Source organism: Homo sapiens, chromosome 1 (assembly GCF_000001405.40).
Source record: "Homo sapiens chromosome 1, GRCh38.p14 Primary Assembly".
Classification (NCBI taxonomy): domain Eukaryota; kingdom Metazoa; phylum Chordata; class Mammalia; order Primates; family Hominidae; genus Homo; species Homo sapiens.
The window spans coordinates 200,966,282-200,984,208 of NC_000001.11; the positions used below are offsets into that span (position 1 = coordinate 200,966,282).

At 55.1% G+C, this 17,927-nt stretch overlaps 1 protein-coding gene and 1 pseudogene across 8 annotated transcripts in view, besides 3 other annotated features; one reads left to right on the forward strand and one right to left on the reverse strand.

Moving 5' to 3' along the window:
* Positions 1 to 387, forward strand: part of MROH3P (maestro heat like repeat family member 3, pseudogene) — a 37,725-nt pseudogene extending 37,338 nt beyond the window's left edge. The window contains exon 16 of the transcript NR_147176.1: positions 104 to 387. The product of NR_147176.1 is annotated as a maestro heat like repeat family member 3, pseudogene (transcript). The remainder of the gene's footprint in view (positions 1 to 103) is intronic.
* KIF21B (kinesin family member 21B) overlaps positions 3,109 to 17,927 on the reverse strand; it is a 54,325-nt gene continuing 39,506 nt past the window's right edge. For 3 of the 7 annotated variants that reach the window (XM_017000731.2, XM_017000732.2, XM_047449818.1), the window contains 8 exons: positions 16,775 to 16,813; positions 14,679 to 14,815; positions 13,254 to 13,434; positions 10,931 to 11,095; positions 10,495 to 10,612; positions 9,218 to 9,388; positions 8,433 to 8,632; positions 7,723 to 7,913 (listed from right to left, as the gene is read on the reverse strand). In XM_017000731.2, the coding sequence (XP_016856220.1) occupies positions 7,814 to 7,913; positions 8,433 to 8,632; positions 9,218 to 9,388; positions 10,495 to 10,612; positions 10,931 to 11,095; positions 13,254 to 13,434; positions 14,679 to 14,815; positions 16,775 to 16,813 (1,111 nt within the window). In that variant the 3' untranslated portion in view covers positions 7,723 to 7,813. Of the gene's footprint in view, positions 7,914 to 8,432; positions 8,633 to 9,217; positions 9,389 to 10,494; positions 10,613 to 10,930; positions 11,096 to 13,253; positions 13,435 to 14,678; positions 14,816 to 16,774; positions 16,814 to 17,927 lie in introns of all 7 variants that reach the window. The other 4 variants (NM_001252102.2, NM_001252100.2, NM_001252103.2 and 1 more) reach the window with 4 other exon arrangements.
* Positions 4,794 to 4,973: an enhancer, noted in NCBI's record as "active region_2304". NCBI's record gives its function as "activates an Ori minimal core promoter by ATAC-STARR-seq in GM12878 lymphoblastoid cells {active_cell/tissue: GM12878}" and the evidence as "EXISTENCE:reporter gene assay evidence [ECO:0000049][PMID:35858748]".
* Positions 10,383 to 11,582: an enhancer, noted in NCBI's record as "P300/CBP strongly-dependent group 1 enhancer chr1:200945792-200946991 (GRCh37/hg19 assembly coordinates)". NCBI's record gives its function as "activates an origin of replication core promoter dependent on BRD2, BRD4, P300/CBP, MED14 and CDK7 cofactors, with strong dependence on P300/CBP, by STARR-seq in HCT116 cells {active_cell/tissue: HCT116}" and the evidence as "EXISTENCE:reporter gene assay evidence [ECO:0000049][PMID:35650434]".
* Positions 13,407 to 13,556: an enhancer, noted in NCBI's record as "active region_2305". NCBI's record gives its function as "activates an Ori minimal core promoter by ATAC-STARR-seq in GM12878 lymphoblastoid cells {active_cell/tissue: GM12878}" and the evidence as "EXISTENCE:reporter gene assay evidence [ECO:0000049][PMID:35858748]".

Below are 17,927 nucleotides of genomic sequence, written 5' to 3' on the forward strand. Positions count from 1 at the left end.
TAGTTTAAAATCCACCAGTCCCGACCCCATTGCCCGGTACATGTCTGCACCACAGGGCCTAGGCCCTCCTACCCAGCCCACTAGGACTTTCTCTGTGTTTCAGCCCTACGGCACATGCAGAGAGACTCCAACCCCACGGTCAGCTGCCTCACCACGCAGACTTTCCATATCCTGGAAGCCAAGAAGAAGCTGCTACTGGCCAAGCCCCCAACCTCCTGCTTCTGCAGGAGGAGGCCCCAAAGGCACTACTTCTGAGCCTGCATCCTTGAGTCTCAGATGTAGGCCTGGCCATTAGACCCTGTGACAATGGGGCCAGATTCCTGGGTCCTGCACTAGAAATGGAGGTGTATCCCTGCAGAATCTTTGTAATAAAAGGAAAAAGTATGCACCTTTGTGAAAATAGCTATTATGTTGTCTTTCCAGTCAATTCTTGGCCTTCTGGGGTAGAGCCACTTGTAAGCCGCCTTCTTGCCTATGCACATCTGGGTTAGGCTGACCTCTCCCTGCTCTGCCCCTCTGTTCCCTTCTCCCATTCAGCCATGGGTCTGAGGCCAGAGCCAGCCATTTCTTTTGAACCAACTTCAACTATGAGCCGAGGGAGAAGTAATGTTGGCACACATGAGGTGTTCTAGAATGCAGTTGTAAGCAACAGAGTCCACTCCAGTTGGCTTAAGAAGGAAAGTGATTTATTAAAGGATTGTTAGTGAAAAACATCCCAGAAGATCAGAGAGTTTGGGTACCACAGAGCCAGGGACAGCGCTGCTCTATAGAAACACCACCATGGCTGGCCCTTGGCACAGCCCAAACCACACCCCAAGCATCAACACTCAGGCCTGGATACTTGCCCTGCAGTGCCCTGCCTCTGCCAGGGCAGTTTTGCTTTGTTACAAGCAATGATAAAAGATAGATCTTATTAAAAATCTATTAACCGGTCAAGTGCATTGGGATGAGACCCACTTTAAAGACTGTTCTGACACCCCCACAAGTCACCCCCTCACTTTGGTCAAGCATAAAATAATGAATACAAGGTAATGAATGCATGGAAAGTAATGGATTCTAGGGCCATCTCTGTCCCAGGATGATTTTGGCCAACTCTGTTGGCTTCTCTGGGCCTCAATTCTGTAGAATGTAAATTTATAAACAGAGAGTTGGAAAACATTATCTTTGTTTTTAAAACTCAACTTCAGAGGCTGAGGAAAAGATACCTTTAAGATGCCACCTAGTTCTGACAATTGAATGGCTCTTACCAAATTCTGAGAGGTGCCATTCCCTTGTGCCTGGGAAAGCTGCCCCATAGCTTATATCCTAAACGGGATTTTTCTTGACACTCTTGCTTTCCAAATTTTCTAAAGTAAGCAGATATTATTCATGTAATCTGGAAACAAAACAACACCCCACATTAAAAGAAGAAAAGAGTCTCTTAACCCAGTGTTCCTGTCCCCCACTGCACCCTGCAGGAGCCTTGGCATCCTCGAGAGACAGGGTGAACTACATTTGGAAAAATTACCTTGTGCTGCAAACTTTCTGGAGGGTGCAGGGAGGAGCGCAGTGGCAAGAAGGAACCAGATGGCTGGAGTCCACTCCAGGTCTGGCCCGTGACCAGTTCCCCAGTGGCCGGTCTCTGGGTCTTGCCCACACACCCTGCCCAGTCTGCAGCTGGCCATGCCCAGGTGTCACTTCCTGCAGTTCACAGTGGGCTCTTCTGTCCCACTGTCAGGCAGGATCCTATGCAAAATATGGACCTGTGGGGAGCGAGGGTGGGGCGGGGAGTGGCATGGGTGATGCCGGGTCAGCCAGCCAAAAACAACTGTCCGCAAGAAGCCACCCTGCTCCTGGGGCAGGAGGCTCTGTGCCTGCCAGCGGGGCTGGCATGTCAGGGCAACTCTGCCCACTTGTGTCTCCCTCCATGGCTCAGGGTCCCTCTCTCACTCACCAAGGCCTTTCTGTTTGAGGACCAGAAGCCTCTCTAGAGGAAACCTTCCCCAGGAAGCTTCACCCTCCCACCCACGGTGACTTCTGCCTCCTACAGACTCCAGGAATTCCCTGGCCAGAGCACCTGTCACATCCATAAGTCTGGACAAACAGCAGGGGACCTGCGCAGGCTGAGGAAGCAATTTGGTTTTATATTTGGGAAACAAAGCAAAGAGAAACCCTATTATATTCCTGATACAAATATCAGGAAGTTAAGCTTTTTAATCAGTTGTGGCTGGTGATGAAGATGTGGATTCTCCCCGAGGGGCCTCTCTGCCCAGGGGATGGGCCGGAATCTCCAGGAGTTGGTGAAACAATTCATGGTTATCAAAAGGGAATATGGGTTCTTAAAGACTGAAAAGCACTGATCTAGGACAAAAATCATGGTGAGGCACAGTGACTCACGCTTGTAATCCCAGCACTTTGGGAGACTGAGATGGGAGGTAAGGCTTAAGCCCAGGAGTTCGAGACCAGCCTGGGAAACATAGTGAGATCCCATCTCTATTTAAAAAGAAAAGAAAAGACCTTTGTAGAGCTCTTTTCTTGTATGATCTTTTTATAGTCTTGCCTTCTTTCCATAAGTGGCAAGGGACCGAGATGCGTTTGGCGTGCACCACGCACAGCGTAGTCCAGGCCCTAGAGAGGTACGTGTTACGTTAGCAAAAGGCAAAGGCTGCTGTGGTTGGGGAGGTCTAGATGCAGATCCTGGCTCTGTCCTTACTAGCTGTGATCCTGGGAAAGTCACATCCATCCCGAGACCTTTCTCATTTCATAAAATGAGAATGTCACCTGTCACACAGGGCAGTGAAGACACAATGAAAAATGCTCTGAACAGTGCCTAGGATATAGCAGTTGGTCCACAAATGCTGCTGCCCACTCTTCCAGCAACTGCACCTGCCTCTGGAGACAACATATGGAGTCTGGAGGAGAATGTGACGCTCTCAAAGCTCTCTGCTTTCTAACTGGTGAAGCCCCAAACTCACAGCTCAGGAAGTTCTCATCAGGCTGGGCCCAGCCCCAGAGGCCTGCTGCACCCATTCACCCACCCACCCACCACCACCACCAACTCCCTCTCCAAAGGCCCCAGCCAAAAGTCAGCAGCCCCCTGGAAGGGGACAGGGGACACCTCCACAGACATTGGTCATTCAGGTTTTATTTATGACAACTTCTTAGAACACACACATCCAATCTAGGAACAGAAATGTACAACATGGGGCTTAAATAACTTTCATACACTATGTACAGCCATCGGCAGAGGTACAAAACATATATACACCTTGTGCTAGTCACATCATGGAGGACAGCAGGAGCCTAATGAAGCCTGCAGCCTGGGCAGGACATGATTGCTAGAAAAGAGTTGGTGGGCAGGGCAGGGCCCTGATTCATCTCAGGGGTCTTCTCTGATCCTCGGCTCTTTGTGGAGGAGTTTCTATTTCCTACTTCCCTGCAAGGCCCTCAGGACATGGTTCACAGGACTGAACTAGAGTGTGATAGGGGCTTCAAGATCATGAGTGCTGGGGATGGGGCAGGGGACAGAACAAAGGTATCAAAGAAGAAACAGAACTTTCCCTGCAAAATCTGTCCTTGCACACAAGAGGGCAGGGAAGGATCTGGGAGTCAGGAGAGGAGGGCCAGGCCCAGGAAGGCCTGTGGGGCATTGGCCACTGACCAGGAGGCTATGCCAAGCAAGGAGAGCAGCAAGCAGTTGCCTGTTTGGGATGGCAAAGGGACACATACCACAGGTCCGGGACACACAGTGGGAAGAAAGTCACTGCTCCTGCAGGGCAGGCTCTGCCCACACAAACACGATGGTGAACAGACCAGGCACAGGCAACAACCAGGGGATATGCCTGCTCCCAGCCCAGACCACATCGGGGGATGCCCCCCAGAGCTGAGAGCTAGCAGGGCAAAGAAGTGTTATGTTCCCTAACGTCACTGCAGCCACCTGCTGGTGTCTCCCTCCACCACATCAGGCACATGAGAAAGTCCCCGCAACCTTGTGTTTTCCCCATGTGGTTTTGTGCTTTAAACTGCCCTCTGCCCAGGCCACACATCCCCAGACAGGCAGCAGGGCTGGACAGCTGAGGGTGAAGAGATTCCTAGGCTGAATCCAGGGTGAGGCCACTCCCAGACCCACCGCTGTCCCTTCCCAAGGGGCTGAAGGTGGCACTCTGACCACCTCAAAGGCTTGGGTGTGCCAGGCTCCGCCTGTTAATCTTTCCTCCTTCCTTGGAAATCTCGCAAGGCAACTCCATGCGCTGCCTTTGAGAGTTCTGGCTGCTTCAGAAGAGTCCGCCACTCACGTGAAAGCAAATACTGAACTGACTGATAGTGAGGACAGGGCCCTGGCACAGGACTATGCTGAAGAGGCCCAAGGGCAGTGGGGATGGAAGACTCCTTCTATCCAGGGAACCCGCTCATAAGCTTCGAAAGCACAAAGTGGGGCTTGACCCAGGAGACTGGGAATCAGTCCAAGCTCTTCAGGCTCACTAGGGCTAGGACTCAGCCTGAACTCAGGCGTTTAGAGATTTGGGGTGCGGGGTTTAGAGAGCGCTTTACTCCTGGTCCCATGGCGTAAAGATGTGGCTGGGCCTGACAAGGCTCAGCCTCCAGTCTTAAGATGGGCACAGAAGGGCAAGAAGTAAGATGACGAGTCCCAGAATTAGGACAAGCCATGAGCCAAGGCCTGGTCTGAGCAAGGGCAGCCCCCTGTCCCAGACACAGGCACCCCCAATCTCACTTTGGACAGAGCCAACGTGGGGGGATCCTCCCGGGCCTGGGCCTGTCAAGTCTGCCTGCGGGACCCTGCCATTGTGCTCAAATCACAACCATTTTGTGCTTCCAACATTTAGGGTGCTTGTGCAGTGAGTGGAGCTGGGGGCCTGCCCCCTAACATGGACCTTGGACATCCCTGAAAGAGTGGGCAGAGAATCCAACTCTCATGAAGCACAACTCGGGGTGTCTCATGGATGTTGGGCTCAGGGCTCCTGAAGGACTTCAAGTTTAGAGAGTCAATGACACTTGCCAGGACAGCAGAGCTGGCCCCGCCGTGAGGTAGCTGACCCATCAGAAACAGCAGAAAATGGGCATGATGATGAGCACCTCTCGCAGGGCCATAAGATCACACTTCGTGCAAGAACACGCCTTGCAGCTACAGTGCAGTCACCCCAGGTGGGGCATCCCCGGCCCGGGGGTGGGAGCTCAAGGGGACAGAGTCTTACGTGTTTCTATCGCTTGTAAACAGTCATGCGGACGGATTCTTTCTTACAGGTTGCAAGGTCAAAACTTTCTGTTCAGGTTGGCGGGGAGGAGTGGGAAGAGATTTGTGGCCACATCTTAGAGCTAAGGGGGTTGCCCGGCACCCCCGGGGTGGCCAGAGGAAGAAGGATTTCCAGCCATTGCTGACAGACTGTTCAGGTCCCAGGAGACCAGCATCCAAGGGGGTCTCCTTCCTGCTATCAGCTGCCCCAGACTTCAATACCACATCCAGCAGGGCCAGCACCAGCAGGACAGCCGTCTTAGCCTCTGTGGCAGCTCCGAGGAGGGCACGGGGAAGGGACCAGGCCTCACTCAGCCTCCACTGGAGCCTGCCTCCCCCCAACACTGGGCGCCACATGGAGAGGGCTCCAAGTGCCCCAGCCCAAGACGGAGAGGAGCCAAGGGCAGAAACACAGAACCACCTCTGGAAAGTCCAAAAGTCACTGCGTCCTCTGAAGGGAGGTGGGGCTGGCTCTTGGCTCCCAGACTGAAGCGGGAAGCACAAGACCAGCGATGCAACGGAAAAACAGGGTGGGCAACTTTGGGTGGGGGTGGGGCGGGGGAGAGGGATGGAGCTCAGTCCCCCCCAAGGCCCACTCCTGTAATTCCAGAGTTCCCCCAACAGGGGGCGCCAGAACACTGATTTAACAATTTCCCCGGAGCTCCGCGTCCCCAGCCCCGGGGCAGAGAAACTCTGCCAACTCCCTCTTCCTTGATAATTTTCTGCAAGGGAGGGCCTGCGCTCCATGCCAGTTTTAAGGCCGAAAATGTGTCTCCTGAATAACCAGAGAGAGAGAAGCTGGAGAGACTCCCCGGCCCAGTGGGGGACTGCAGGGCTGGGGAGGGGCGGGGGTCAGGGTGCCGGGCTGTCCTCCCCATCCAAGCCACCTCCCAGCAGACACAGCCCCCATGCTGCTTCCTACGTGGCCCACGCAGGACTGTGGGGCAGAACCCCGGGGCCTGGGCTGTGGGGTGAGCGCCCCCGCCTTCCCGGGGGCGCTGGGCACAAGACCTCGCGAGTGAGAAGACACATGTGGTGCCGCGGGCATGGCTGGTGTAAGGCTGCCCGGCACGGGTGCCAGGCCCCGGAACGGAGGAAGGCACTGAGCGTCAGGCGGCCTAGAGGCCAGGGGTAGCTAGAAGACTCCCTGGGGGCTGTGTCGGGGACAGGCCTGAGCTGCAGAGTCGAAGGAGCAGTTCCCTCCTCTGCAAAGCAAACAGAGGAGGCGGCCCTGGAGGGCCGGGGCAGCGGACTCCCTTTGGGATTTCTGGCCCCCAAGAGCTGAGGGAAAGAATATAGGGGAAGAAACTTCAAGTCCGTTTCCAGGAGGCAACAGCAAAAAATAAAAATAACAAAATAATAAATAACTGAAGTATTTCTGACCATCTCCCCAAAGGAATCTTTCTAGCAGCTCCACCTTGGCCCCATCCAAAAGGGACCCCAGGGAACTGTTGGGGCCAGTTGGGGCTATCTGCGGGTTGCCAGAGGGTTAAGGGTTAGCTGCAAGGCCCAGCCGCCCACACCTGGTTTCCTTAGCTACCTGAGGACTTATCTTTTTGGGCTCAGAGGCAGGTGCAGTGGCTCTAGAGGCTGGGCTGGGAGAAGCGGGGAGGCCAGCTCCTCGGAAGGGTGGGATGGGGCCAGGCTGCTGCACCTCCCCACAGGGCTCCACCACTGGGCCAAAGGCCTGAGAAAGGGGCAGAGCCGGTTCAGCAGGAGACAATGTGGCCACGACTGCCAGGAGGGGAACAAGAAGGGATAATGCCCTTTGGCTTCACAGCTTAATTTCCTCCCCAGCCTCTCTCTCACCCAGAGGCTCCTGAGAGGCAGGGGAGGGATGAGGGAACAGTGTCCTGTGGGAAGGCCAAGGGAGAGGGAGGAGGGCAGGAGAGGGGGCCACGCCCTCTGTCCCCAGAGCAGCTGGCCCCATCGGCCGGGTCACAGCTTCCCTTCCATGGTGTCCAGGCTGCTGGGGTCGAGGGTCCGGGGGCATCCCTCTGACCTCACTCCTAGGGTGGGCCGCTGTGGGGTAACCGCCGGACACTCCAGAACTTCACCGTCAGGTCACTGGGGTGGAGGACAAAGTGGAGGGGTGCCGGTCAGCTCTTGCAGTGGGCTTGGCTGGCTGCCCCCAAAAGTAGAGGATGAACTGGATTCCCCAAACTCCCCAAATGTGGTTGGGGCTGGGAGGCAAGCATGGCTTACGGGGAGGTGGACTGCAGGTGGTGGGGTGCTGGGCAGATGGAGAGGCCTGTGCACTCAGAGGCCCCCAGGGGAGCTTTGTCATGGGTTTTCTTTTTTTGGGGGGGTGTTTCGTTTTGTCCAGGCCTGAAGGCTCCCCCTTCTGCTCCCTGGCACCCATCTCCTGGGGCCTGTCCCACTGTTCATGCTTGGAAAAGGACGGTGGGTGCAGGAGGGACAGGCAGGGCACCTCTCTAGGCCAGGCAGGACAGGAAGGGAAAGGAAGAAGAAGGAGTAAAATAATCTCATACCGTTAAGAAGCAGCTCAGATCGAAGTGGGGAAAGAGAGGGAAAAGGAAAGAGGGGAAGAATGAAAGAGGAGACAGGGAGAGTTGGGGAGGGTCAGGGCAGGGTGGTGGCGCGGCCCTTTATGGCCAGGACTCGGCGAGGAAGGCAGGGGGTGAGTCCAGGGACGTAATTCCACAACTTTACCCGGCAGTCACTGTGTGGGGAGAGAGGCGAGGACAGAGAGGAGAGGTGGGAGGAGATGGGAAGGGGAGGGGAGAGAAGGGACAAAGTCGGAACAAGAAAGAAAGCCATCTGAGTCGCACCCCATGGGACAGAGGGCCTGGCTGCTCCCCACACAGGGGGCCAGAGCGGGTGGGTGGGGTGTAAGAGGCGTGGTCTGGGGCTGGCAGGGCTGCTCTGTGCTCTGAGAGATACCTGCACGGGGGAAGACAGCCAGGGCAGGGGAGGGTAGGAAGGGCTTGGAGACAAGCGGGCGAGGCTTGGCCCAGGGCCCAGTACCTTCCTCCTCCCCTGCCTAGCGCAGTGCCCAGCACATGGTGGGCACTCACTGAAGGCTGGCACAGGCTAGGTATGCAAAGGAGGCCACCATGGAATCTGCTCTGTGAACCGAGCCTGCGGGGACAACTGCAGGGCCCTGAGCCTCCCAGCCTCCCCTGCCCACACCAGGAAGGAGATGAGGGAGCAGAGGCAGACCTCTCTGACCAGCACCCACCTGGAGGCTGTGAAGATATGCTTGGCATTGGTGCAGATGGCATTGATGGGACTGTCGTGGCCCTTGATCTCACCGATGGGTGTGAAGTTGTCCACGTTCCAGACCTTGATGACACCCGCACGGCAGGCGCTGAGCAGCATGGGGCGGCCCGGGATGAAGGCCAGGGCGCACACCCAGTCCTTGTGCGCATTGGGGATTTGCTGTGAGAGGATCAGGGCTGGTGAGGGCTGGGGGAGGTGATGAGGGAGAGAACCTGCCCCAGGGCCCCTCTTGCTAGTAGTGGAGCTACTTCCAGGCTCCCCTGGCCTCTAGAGCTGCCACACGGGCGGGTGACACTGGTTCCAGGAGCCATGCTGGGGTGGCCTGTGCTGTGGGCTTTAGGGGACCAGAGATGGGTCCCTCTGCTCTACTTCCCAGGTTCAAGCCTAAGATCCTGCCCTGGCAGAGAACCCTTCAGCCCTCACACGGGTCAGGCTAAAACACAAATGCTCCCAGGAAAGGAATTGGGTAACTGAGCTTCACATGCAAACCCAAGAGCTGAGAGCAAAGGCTTTGCTGAGAGCAGGTTGCCTAAGAGGGAGATGTGGCATCAGGAGAGGCCGCGGGTAGGGAAGAAGGGAGGATGGAGACAGAGGAGGAAGAGGGAGAACAGGAGGGCTTGGGGAGCTGTGAAAACCATCTGGCCTGGGGCCCGCGAGTCCAGGTCCCAGGGTCTCCAAGGCCCTGCGTGGGCTATGGAAACCACCCTACCCGAGTCTACCCTCTCCCTTTCCTCCTGACCCCACCTGGATGAGCTCCTGCTGGTCTAGGTCCCACTTCTTGATGCCGTTATCTCGGGAGCCACTGAACAGGATGTCTCCCTGGATGGCGAGACACTCGATGCCATCGTAGTGCGGGGGCTCGAAGTTGTGAGTGGGGCCGATGGTGCCCGTCACACACTCGCCCAGCTCGAACATCTGTGGGAGGAGGGGCCAGTAGGGAGAGGCCAAGTGGGAGGATGGAAGGCAGGGCCTACAGCACTGTGGACCCAGAGGCCTGAAGACCCAGGAGTCTGGCTAGGGTGACAGCCACTGCCCTCTGGGGAGAGGAGCTTCCCAGCAGGCGAGGGTTCCTGGAGGTGGGGCTGCTCCTTCTAAGGGACTGGGAACACGGAAGGTTCAGATCTTGACCCTTCCTGTGGATACTGGGGCAGGGGTGGGAGGAGACCAACTCAAGTAATGCAGGGGTGAATCAGCTCATCACGCCGAGACCCCACAGCTCAACAGGCAGCTGCTAAGGAGAAGGGTGGGTTTAGGGTGTGAGCCTCCCTCTAGAATTCTTTTGATTTTTACTAAATATTCACCATAATCCCACCACCCCTGAAAACCCTACTTCTTTCCAGTTTCTTTTTTGTTGGAGACTGAGTCTCACTCTGTTGCCCAGGCTGGAGTGCCGTGGTGCAAACTCGGCTCACTGCAACCTCTGCCTCCCGGGTTCAAGCGATTCTCCTCCCTCAACCTCCCAAGTAGCTGGGACTACAGGCGCCCGACACCATGCCTGGTTAATGTTTTGTATTTTTAGTAGAGACAGAGTTTCACCATGTTGGCCAGGCTGGTCTCAAACTCCTGACCTCAAGTGATCCTCCCACCTCAGCCTCCCAAAGTGCTAGGATTACAGATGTCAGCCACCACGCCTGGCCTGCTTCCTTTCAGTTTCTGACTGTGTATGGACAGTTTTCAATGGCATAATCAGAGAGCAAACAAATTAGTGTTTGTATACTTCATGTTTGGTTTGCTATTTATCATTTTAATAGCTGCAATGCATCCCATTTAGTGGATTTTCCATAATTTGATTGTTATTCTACCCTTCAACATTTAAGTTATTATGAATTTTTCACCAGTTACAAAATAATGCTGCAATCTATAACTTTCTGCACATAAATTCTTGCCTTCTTTGGGGTGATTTCTTCAGCAGACATCCCCAGAAGTCTTATAATTTTTCATGGGTACTCCCAGGGCAACAGAGGGCAAAGATTGGGGAGAGTGGAAGACCAGCCCCGACCCAGGCCTCATAGCTGAGGTACCTTAACGTAGTGGTCCTTGGAGCCAGTCACCACGAGGTCATGCTGGCTGGCCGTCTGGGTGACCGTCAGGCACATCACAGGGCCGATGTGGCCAGTCAGCTTGCCGACAGGCTGGAACCTGCAGTGGGAAGAGGCCCAGCCAGGGGTAGGTGAATTAGAGGGGACCCTGGGTTGGGGTGGGGTGTCTGCCCCAAAACAAATAGGCCTGGTCAGGGTACTCACCCTCCCCTCTCGCTCAAGGCAAGATCAAGAATCTAGACATGAGCTACCCTGCATCCCAGCAGTCTCACTGGAGAGGGCACAGGCCCAGCAGCATGGGGGGAATAAAGGTGTTGCTGAGGTCCTACCCACCCTGGGGTGGGTCCCCCTGAACCAAGACCTGGGGACCTTGCCTGGGAATGCCAAACCCTCCTCCCTCCCCAGGTATCACGCTGACCTGCTAAGCTCCCAGATGCGGACGGCATTGCCCGAGGCGGCGTACAGCATGGTGCCCGAAGGGCTGAGGGCGATCTGGTTGATCTGATGCTCGCCCTGAGCACTGGTGATGGCACGGGTGGATGTGGCGGCACAGGCATCCCCTGAGATCACCTGGCCCGAGGACCTGCCCATCGGAGAAAGGCAAGGCCAGAGGTCAAAACAATCCATGTGCACAGTGCAGGAAACCAATAAAACGTCACTAAGACCAGCCCAAATAACCTACTTCTTCCAGGAAGTCTTCCTTGACTGACAGAGAAGAGCAATAGCTTCTCCCATAAGTGAGACCCAGGGGAGAGCTCCACTCTAGTCCCCTATGAGTCAACTCCCCATGTGGCCTGCCCATGTGCCTGGTCACTGGCTTGGAAAGATGGTAAGGCTCAGTCATGAGAGTGGGTGTGAACATGGATCTTCCGGAAATCAACCTCTCTGAGTCTCGGTTTCCTCATCTGTTAAAAGAGGTGATTATATCCATTCTGTTTACTATTTTTTTTTTTTTTTCTGAATGGAGTTTCGCTCTTGTTGCCCAGGCTGGAGCGCAATGGCATGATCTCGGCTCACTGCAACCTCTGCCTCCCGGGTTCAAGCGATTCTCCTGCCTCACCCTCCCGAGTAGCTGGGATTATAGGCATGCGCCACCATCCCAAGCTGATTTTGTATTTTTAGTAGAGACGGGGTTTCTTCATATTGGTCGGGCTGGTCTCGAACTCCCGACCTCAGGTGATTTGCCTGCCTCAGCCTCCCAAAGTGCTGGGATTACAGGCGTGAGCCACTGCACCCAGCCTGTTTACATTTATTTATGTTTGTTTGTTTGTTTGAGATGGAGTTTCACTCTTGTTGCCCAGGCTGGAGTGCAATGGTGTGATCTCGGCTCACTGCAATCTCTGCCTCCCAGGTTCAAGCAATTCTCCTGCCTCAGCCTCCTGAGTAGCTGGGATTACAGGCATGCGCCACCATGCCTGGCTAATTTTGTATTTTTAGTAGAGACGGGGTTTCATCATGTTGGTTAGGCTGGTCTTGAACTACCGACCTCAGGTGATCTGCCCGCCTCGGCCTCACAAAGTGCTGCGATTACAGGTGTGAGCCACTGCGCCCAGCCTTGTTTACTTTTTTTTTTTAAGACTTTATTTTTTTTTTTAAGGCCAGTTTTAGGCTCACAAGAAAACTAAGCACAAGATAGAGATTTCTCACATGCCCCTGCTCCCACACAGGCACAGTCTCCCCCATTATCAACACCCCCCACCAGAAAGCTGCCTGTGTTTCGATTATGAACCCATGTTGACATATTGTTATTGCCCAAGTCCATAGTTTATGTTAGAGTTCACTCTTGGTGTTGCACATTCTAAGGGTTTGAACAAATGTATAATGGCATGCATCTACCATTACAGCATCATACAGAATAATTTTACTGCCCTAAAAACCCTCTGTTTACTTTATTCATTATTATTATTTTTTGAAACAGGGTCTTGCTCTGTCACCCAGATTGGAGTGCAGTGGCACAAACATGGCTCACTACAGTCTCGACCTCCTGGGCTCAAGCAACCCTCCCACCTCAGCCTCCTGAGTAGCTGGGACTACAGGCATGCACCACCATGCTCAGCTAACTAAAAATTTTTTTTTTGTAGAGACAGGGTCTCCCTGTGTTGCCCAGGCTGGTCTTGAACTCCTGGTCTCAAGTGATCCTCCTGCTTCAGCCTCCAAAATACCTAGGATTATAGGCATGAGCCACTGTGCCCAGCCTGTTTACTTCTTAAGGATCAAATTAATAGACTGTAGCTTACAGTGTTAATGTAAGGATGTAGCATGACTTCTGCTAAAAAAAACCACTTTATTTTGCAAGGCTCTTGGTCTCAGTTCTGCCTCCCCTGCCCTATGCCTGTGTGTCTGAGACTGTCGGGGCAGGGCTCAGGGCCATGACTGGGTGGTCGCCTACACAGGCAGTGGCCAGCATGGCTTTGGAGGCTCACCCTGTTTCCTAGCTCCTCTTTCAGACTCATAGGATGATATCTAACACACCTCAAGGGGCAGGGCTTGGGGGACTGGGCTGTGGGTGGAGGCCAGGCAGGCCAAAAATTCCTCTAGTGGTGCTGCCCCAGACACTGTCTCCCAAACCAAGAGATCTCACCTTGTACCCCAGGGTCAAGCCAAGTTCATAGGCTGGTAATGGTCTCTGTGCCCATGTAGCCGGGCTGTGCTGTGCTGAGTGGGTCACTTGGGCTGGGAGCATCTGTACCCAACACAGCCTGCTGCAGCCGACCACTGTGAGGCAGGCGGGGGTTACTCACGTGAGAGTCCGAATGCACTTGGCTGAGTCCCGGATGTCCCACACCTTGATGTAGGAGGTGGACACGGAGAACACAAGCCCCGAGTGGCTGCAGTACTTGATGGAGACCACGTTGTTGGGGTGGCCCTTTAGAGCTGCGATCTCCTGTCCCGTAACCAAGTTCCACATCTTGCAGCTTCGGTCTGTGAGAGATGGGAGGAAGCCACAGGGAGGGGAGGGATGTCAGCCACTAGGGGGCGCAGCTCCACCTCTGCAGGGGCTGCCCAGGATAGGGGAAAGGGATCCACAGGGCTCCAGAGGACGGAGCTCCAGGTCTGAAGAGGAAAAAAACACATACACATGTGCTCACTGGCATGTGTGTGCTAGTAAAAAACTCAGGGAAGAGAGAATTCCCTCAGAACTTCAGACCAGGGTTCCTCAAGCAAACTTTCCACTAACACCAGAGTTTTGTGAGCCATACTGCTAAGGTGTCCAGGGCTAAAATAAAATTCTTAAGCTTTTATGGTGCCTGTTCCTCCAAACACTAATTGCTGACAAAGCAAATGAACCAGTGCAAGCAAATGTTATGGGAAAACTTGGAATCAATCAATCACACCTAGATTGACAGCTATCCCCCTACTGCCGTGGAGAGCTATATTTATGCTTGTGTTATAGTATGCGTGTCTATTACAGACTAGTTCTTTCTGTCGGTAAAATGAATGAATGAAAGAGTAAATAAAGAATTTTGTATTTGCTTATTGAGATAGGGTCTTGCTCTGTTGCCCAGGCTGGAGTGTAATTGCACAAACACAGCTCACTGCAGCCTTGACCTCCCGGACTCAAACGATCCTCCCACCTCAGCCTCCTGAGTAGCTGGGGCTACAGGCACATGTCATTGTGACTAATTTTTTATTTTTTGTAGAGACAGGATCTCACTATTTGCCCACGCAGGTAGTCTCAAACTCCTGGGCTTAAGCAATTCTCTTGCCTCATGCTTCCAAAGTGCTGCAATTACAGGTATGAGCCACTGTGCCCAGCCTATCTGCTGGTAAAATGTTTGACTTTGTTGCTGTAATCAGGTGAGCGTGACTTTGTAAAGTGCTGCTGCTGAGATCATAGGGAGTGCCTAGATGTATGAGCTGGGGTGATGTTGGGCAGTGCAAGTACAGGTGGGGCACCCAAGAAGCTTCCTGAAGTTTCCCTGGAAGGTCTGGAAGGAAGTGCTGGATGGAGCCACCAGGTCAGGTATGAGGGAAGGCTTGGCCAAGGATGCATGGGATGGGGGCCTTGAGCCAAGGTAAGAAACAAGGGTAGTAAGCAAATAGACCCCATATCCTCAACTCCTGGGGGCTCTATGTTCTTTTCTCCTTCACAGACCACTCTGACAAAGGAAGCAGGGGTGAGTAGGAGACCCCAACCCTACCTGGCTAGTTGGCGTTCCACATACCTTTGGACCCTGTGAATAGCAACTCATCTGTGGCATCCAGGCAGAGGATGGGCTTGGTGTGGCCTTCGGCCATGGAGACACACTGCAGTGGGGCCGTCCGTGCACCCTTGGCTCCTCCAACCGGGGAGATGATGCCCCTTCCCGGGAGAGAGGGAGAGAAGGCATGCTCGTCAGCCAGGGAGACTGTGGCCAGGCTGATCAAGGCACGTGTGTGGGATGGGGACAGGGCAGGGAGGGGATGAGGACCAAATAACAGAGACTTTAAGGACTCCAGCCAAATTCCACCAAGGTCTGAGAGCCGGGAACGGGCTACACAGAGTGGAGATAGCCTGTCTTAATCAGCAATCATCAGTTGCCATCCTGAGCACTTCTGGGGAAGCAAACCCGGTGTTAGGCACAGCTAGAAGGTGCAGGAGGTGTGGGCTCTGTCCACAGAGAGTTCCTATCTGACAATGTCTGACCCAGATCCTGAGATGTGAATGCGCCCGGGTCCAGCTGGGCAGGGCAGAGGCCCAGGGGCTGGAACTGGGCCCTGTAGCTTCCACCAGAAGCTGCATGCTGCTTCAGTTAACCGAGTGTGAGGGAGGGGTGCTGAGAGGGAGGGTTGCTCAGGCCATCACCCCCATGCACCCTGATCCCAGTAAACCCTTCTGCTGGTAACTGCCTCTGAGGCTAGCATCTTCCAAGCAGAGAGCCATGTGTACACATACACACTCCTTTTGGACCAGCGGGGTCAAACTTGTGACTGGCATTTACGAAGGGCTAAATCCCTTTGGGGCTGGCTTGGCTTTGGGTAGGAGGTTTGGGGCTCTCTGGAATGGGGCTGTATGGACCTGGAACAACACCTCCTCGCTCCCATGATGCTAGGGGAGCGAGAAGGAGGCTGGCCCAAGTGAGCGTGAGGGTTTTGCCACATCCAGCTTCCTGAGGTTCTGAAGATGATTTTTTTCTCAGTGAGGGTCTTTTGGGATGAGACCCTGGCTGAGTCATGTCTGAAAATATATCCTAGCTTTGTTTCTTTTCCCAAGAGAAAGCTGCTCCTGACAGTGACTCTGGCCAAGGGTCTACTGAAATGATCAAGGTTTTGCCTGTGGCGCTTCTGGCACAGCTCCCCCCAGACTCTGCCAGGCCCACCCTTGAGGATGGTGGTCGGATACGTCCAGCTGCCAGCCAGGTGCCACACATGCACAAATAGCTCCCCAAGCTGCTCCAGCACCCTGCTTCTGACAATGGTTTGGCTTCACTGCATGGCCACAGAACTATGTCAAAGGGATCATGCTCCCCCCGATGACAGCCTGGCCAGCTGGCTAACATCTTGTGGTGGCAAAGCCTCATGATTCACAGTAAACCAGTTGTCGACACTCAGGGCTGGAGGCTCGAGGAGCTGAGACAGCCCACCAGGAGAGCCGAGGAAGCTCTCAGCCCACGAGGGGCCCTTGGCTTGTCAGGGGCTCGGGACCCCAGGTCCTGAGTCTTGCTCCTCGTTGTGCGGTGTCATGCTCGGCTGGCTGGGAGAACCAGCCTCCAGCCATCCCACAGGCTGCGGGAAGGGGAGGTACCCACACATCTGTGTGCTAACAGGTGTGGGCAAGGGGCGCTGCCCCCATGGTGCCCCTCCCCCCATGGTGCCCCTCCCAGAGCCAACGTCTGAAAAGCTCACCCCCAGCACAAGCTGAGGGAATCAAAGGACCCAGAGCACACCACCGGCACCCCCAAAAGGAGCAGCCTTCAGCATTTCCCCTGCCTTCCAGTCGTGGAGAACTCAGCCCCAGCCCAGCATCCCCTAGGCCTCCATGCTGCGCCCCTCCCTGCCCAGGTGAGGAGGGAGAAGAGAACAGGGCCTGCGACAAGCAACTGTGCACCCTCCCCAAGCCCCCAGCTCTAGCTGGCGCAGTCCAAGGCCTTGTGGCCACCCTGAGAGAGAGGAACCATGGGGGCAGGAACAGGTCTGGAGAGGGGGGCAGCAGGAAGGGGAGTGGAGGGGCCGCATGCTGAGGACACGGGTGTCAGGCGGGAGGGATGCAGCAAGAGACAGAGAAGAGAGGGTGCCGAGAGTGAGAGTGGGGAACCAAACACGAGAGACATTCTGTGTGTACCTCAGGACCTCCGACAAAGAGGAGTCGCTGTCATCAGACCTGGGGAGGGCAGAAAATTAGCTGGATTAGGGGGTGAGAGGAGACACACACAGAGGGACGCAGAGGCGGCAGCAGTGTGTGGGGTGGTCAGAGGGCAGGTTATTCTCTTCCAGCGGAGCAGAGACAGGCAGAGGAATGAGGGCCTCGGGAGAGCAGGGGAGGAGGTGGGTGGGCTGGTCTGGGAGCTGGGACTCTCCCCCAGGAGTGGGCTGCCAGGGTCTCTCGGCTGGCAAGGGAGGAGCGAGGAGGGGGCCACGGGGAGATGTGGGAGCACCAGCCCCACACATGGGGAGACGTTTCCAGGGCTGTTTGCTGGTTCCAAGCTCTCTGGCTGCCCCATCGCACAAGCTGGGGGCACCTGCCCCACCCCAGCAATGCTCATACCTGCCCAAGGCTGAAGGAAGCCATGCCTGATCCTACCCCTCCCTGGGAGCTGGCTTCTTCCAGCAATTCCTCAGGGGCTCACTTATTTACAAAGCCCACTATCCCTAGGGGGCCCACTGGGACAGTGCCTAGAAGTTGGCTGTGCACCATGCACAGGCTCCAAGACCTGGACCATTGGACAAGACCAAGGCCTCCAGAAGACCATCAGGCTGGGATGGGCACAGCCCTGCCCCAATCCTTCCAAAAAGGGGACCTGTTGATTGTAACAACATGGAGATGGGCTAGGAGTGATCCATGGCTCCCCCCACAGCAGCCTGAGCCAAGATAGGTTTGGGGAAGGAGGTGTCTGGGGTGCCAGGTCTGCAGGGCTCTGACTCCTGGGCTCAGCATTCATCAAGTAGTATTTTGACCCAGGAAGGGGCATTTCTGTGGAGAGGTGGGGAGGGTGGACATCAGGCACTAGGTACAAGGACAAGTATTTTCTAGTGTGAGACTCCCCTGAAGGCCACAGCACTGTCACCCCTGGGGCAGGGAAGCCTTCAGGGAGCTAAGAGAGGAGCCCTCTTGAGGGCTGCAGAGAGCAAAACAGGACCAGGGTGGGCCCAGCAATGCTGGGGAGCCCAGAGCAGCACATGGAGGATAGGGTCCTCCCCTTTCCTGAGGCACAGCAGGCAGGGGCTGGAAGTCCCAGGCTCTGGGTGCAATTCTGCCACTTTCTAGGTGAACATCC